Genomic DNA, 4,637 nt, shown 5'->3' with positions numbered 1-4,637 from the left:
GGCCCGCAGCAGTCACGTGACCGCGCTTCCTCGCGCTGTGCGCAGCCGCAGACCGAGCCTCCGAAGTGGGCCGAGAGGGCGAGAAGTGGACGCGGTTCCCTAACAGGGGCCCGGGGAACCCCCAGGAGCCCCTCGGGGCCAAGAATTAGTAGTAGTAGGACACACGCACATACACCAGATTCCCTACACACCAGTGTATTTCCCCGACTAAAGTAAAGCTGTTACTGTATTGGGATCTAAGAACTCTCTTCAGGATTCAAAGATAATTTCAAAATATAGTGACACAAGAATTTGGATAAATTTCATCCTAACATTGATAAAGGAGCCAGATGCTGACGAGTACGAATTGTAGAGTTCCGTCTATGTAAATAAAAACCAGTCCTCGCTGTTAGAAGTTAGGGGCTGGTGGGTTCTGCTTCTGGATCTGGTGCTGGTAATGTGGGTGTGCTGCATTTGGGGCGGTACCTCAAGCAGCAGATTACCTGCCCATTTTCCAGGGTGTACATCACACTTAATAAAACATTTAAAAGGTAGAGAGGGGGAAGGACAAACAAGGAAGTAAACACCATCATGATTTTGCTTAAGTATCAATGGCTAGAAAGGAAATTTCCACAGTGACCCTCCAATTTCACCTCCCAAAGTAGCCATAGTGAGAGTTTAATGTGTGTCTCTGCGATGGCCTGTATTAGTCCGTTTTCATGCTGCTGATAAAGACATACCCGAGACTGAGCACTTTACATAAGAAAGAGGTTTCATGGACTTACAGGTCCACATGGCTGGGAAGGCCTCACCATCATGGCAGAAGGCAAGGAGGAGCAAGTCACCTCTTACATAGATGGCAGCAGGCAAAAAGAGAGCTTCTGCAGGAAAACTCCTTTTTATAAAACAATCAGGTCTCGTGAGGCTTATTCACTATCACGAGAACGGCACGGGAAACACCTGACCCCATGATTCAGTTACCTCCCACTGGGTCCCTTCCACACAACACATGGGAATTCAAGATGAGATTTGGGTGGGGACACAGCCAAACCGTATCATGACCTTTTTTCTTTGAAAGCGGTCCCTTGCAGAGAAACACCAAGAGCTCACTGGTGATGCTACCCCATTGCCTCCACTTGGGAGCTGCCGCAGAACCTGGAGAGCCACCACCCAGACCGTATTCAACAAACAAACAAGACTCCTCCCCTGATGAGGACCACAGGCAGCACCCACGGGACAGGGTAGCCCACATGGATGTGGCTCCCCAGTGTCCCTGGGCTCAGCTCAGGGCTTGGCACACTTTGCATCTGCTTTTCACAATTGCCCCATCACTCCCTTTCTATGGATTCAGAAGGGACAGCTCACGCCTTAAGCCAGACCTTGAAACCCGAGCTTTCAGAAGGAAAGGAAGGACGAGTAAGTATCTGCAGACAGCAGGGATGGGCATACAAACATGCTGGCAGCGGCATTTATCCTCCAGTTCCCAGCGAGGCCCCTGCCTCCAGGTTGCGTGTGCTGGGGTGGAGGCCTGTGACACATCGCCTGCCCAACTCTGTCGACGCTCTGTAATGGGACAGGTAGGGATCTGGGACCTCAGCCTCAGGACTCCTGGCTTTCCTGCTCCACCTCGGGCGAGTCACTCCCCATCAATTTGCTTTCTTCGTCTGTGAATTAAGGGAGGGGAACTTCAAGTCTTTGAGAGCCTGTCCTGCTCTGATGAGCTAAGAGGATAAAGACTATGGTGATGACAAACCAAAAGTAGATGCCTCCCTCTGGTAGGTGAACCTCCGTCGGGGAGGGAGTTGCCGTGGTGTCTCCTGGAGAGAGGGGACGGAGCCATCCCCAGCAGGGGGGCGGTTTCATAGCTGGGCCAGCCCACCTGTCCGGCTTTCTCACTTGGCATCCATTCCACATGAGATCCAGTCTTTCCAACAATCAAGAGGATATATGGATAAGTCACTCAATCTCCCTTGGAGCCTCAGATTTTGTTCAAGTTGACTGAGCACCCACTTGAGGGGTGATCAAGGATTAACAGAAGTAATGACAATGACAAGCTTCCCCTAGAACCTCTGTTCCCAGTGGTGCTCCCAAGGGGGCAAAAATGGCTCTTGGGGAGCAAAACATCCTTACCCTTTTTATGTATAAAGCACAGATAATGATACAATACACAAGCATGCAGTATATCTGCAGTATTAAAATTTTATGAAGGCTGAAAGCAGTGGCTCATGCCTGTAATCCCAGCACTTTGGGACGCTGAGGCGGAAGGATCACTTGAGCCCAGGAGTTCAAGACCAGCCTGGGCACCATAGTGAAACCCCATCTCTACAAAGAATACCCAAAAAATGGTGGTGGCGTGTGCCTATAGTCCCAGCTACTCGGGAGACTGAGGTGGGAAGATCACCTGAGCCCAGGGAGGTCGAGGCTGCAGTGAACCATGATCATACCACTGCACTCCAGCCTAAGTGACAAAGCGAGACCCTGTCTCAAAAAAATAAACAAGTAAAATAAAATTTCATGGGGCAGTACATAAGGAACCCTCATCTTCTGCCAGTGGGCACGTAAATGGCCCAGCCACTGTGGAAAACAGTCGTATGGTCCCTCATTAGGTTCAACATAGAATTATCACGTGACACAGCAATGGCATTCCCACGTATACACCCAGGAGAATGAAAAACAGGTTTTCGAACAAAAACTTGTAAACAAACATCAGTACTGTCCACAAGAATCAAATCATGGAAACAATCCAGAGGCTCATCAGTGGATGAGTGATGAACAGAATGCGGTCTGTCCACAGCTCCCACAGCCTCCCACCCGAGGTTTCCCAGGTGTCTCCTTGTTTGCTTGTTTGTTTGTTTGTTTTGAGATGGAGTCTCACTCTGTCGTCCAGGCTGGAGTGCAGGGGTGCCGTCTCGGCTCACTGCAACCTCCACCTCCCAGGTTCAAGTGATTCTCCTGCCTCAGCCTCCCTAGTAGCTGGGATTACAGCCCTGCACCATCACGCCTGGCTAAGTTTTGTATGTTTAGTGGAGTCGGGGTTTCACCATGTTGGCCAGGATGGTCTCAAACTCATAACCTCAAGTGATCCGCCCACCTCAGCCTCCCAAAGTGCTGGGATTACAGGTGTGAGCCACCACGCCCTGCTCCAGGTGTCTTGTTTTCATTTTATTTTATTTTATTTTATTTTATTTTATTTTATTTTATTTTATATTTCATTTCATTTCATTTCATTTTATATTTTGAGACAGAGTCTCACTCTGTTACCCAGGCTGCAGTGCAGTGGCCCCATCTCGGCTCACTGCAACCTCTGCCTCCCAGGTTCAAGTGATTCTCTTGCCTCAGCCTCCCAAGTAGCTGGGATTAGAGTTGCGTGCCACCACGCCTGGCTAATTTTTGTATTTTTAGTAAAGACAGGGTTTCACCACGTTGGCCATGTTGGTCTTGAACTCCTGACCTCAAGTGATCTCCCCGCCTCAGCCTCTCAAAGTGCTGGGATTACAGGTATGAGCCACCATGCCCGGCCTAGGTGTCTACTTTTGGTTTGTCATCTCCATAGTCCTCATCCTCTTAAATCATCAGAGCAGGAGGGGCTTCCCCGGGAGATGATATTATTCATCCATAAAAAAGAATAAAGTACTGACATGTGCTACAACACAGATGAACCTTGAAAACATCACGCTGAGTGAGAGAAGCCAGACACAAAAAGCCACGCATTGTATGATTCCATTTATATGAAATATCCACCGTAGGTCAAACCATAGACACAGAAAGTTGATTCATGGTTGGTAGGGGCTGGGGAGGAGGGAATAGGGAGTTTCTGCAAATGGGTATGGGATTTCTTTTCAGGGTGGCAAAAACATTCTGGAGATAGATAGTGATGGCTGCACAACTTTGTGAATATACTAAAAACCACTGTGAAACTGTACACATTTAAAAGGTGAATTTTATGGTATGTGAATAATATCTCAATAAGCCTCTTACTAAAGATTTTTCAGGATTAAAACGTCTAAAAACACTCCGGGGGTAGAAAAAAGAACAATGACGAAATTAAAAGGTGGAGAAGCCCTAACCTAGCATCTGCACATAGGGAGCATCACATACACACTTTAGTGGTGTTCTTTTGATTATTATTACAGATCTGTAATCTGTTTGCTGAAGCCCTTGGGACCAAGTATGTTTCTGAATTCAAAATTGTTGGGATTTTAGAAAGATAATGTGGTGCACATACATACAACAGCCCCAGCAAGGTTTGGGACAGCACCCAGGAAACCAACATTAACATTTCTGCAAGGAAACAGATGCGCATTCACACTGAATGAAACCAATAAGGACGCTAGGTCCTCACTCTCTGCTGTGGTTTGAATGTGTGCCCTAAAGTTCGTATGTTGGAACCTTAATTCTCAATGCAACAGTGTTGAGAGATGGAATCTTTCATGAGGCCTCTGCCCTCATGAATGGATTCATGCTGTTATTGCAAAAGCGTGTACCTGATAAAGGAATGAGTTTAGCTTCTTTCTCTTCTCTCTCTCCAGCTCTCGTGCCCTTCTGCCCTCCACCGTGGGATGATATAGCAAGAAGACCCCCACCAGATGCAACCCCTTGAACCTGGACTTCCCAGCCTCCAGAACTATGAGCCAAATGAATTTCTTTTCTTTATAAAT

Source organism: Homo sapiens, chromosome 16 (genome assembly GCF_000001405.40).
Source record: "Homo sapiens chromosome 16, GRCh38.p14 Primary Assembly".
Classification (NCBI taxonomy): Eukaryota; Metazoa; Chordata; class Mammalia; order Primates; family Hominidae; genus Homo; species Homo sapiens.
This window is presented reverse-complemented; position numbering follows the sequence as displayed.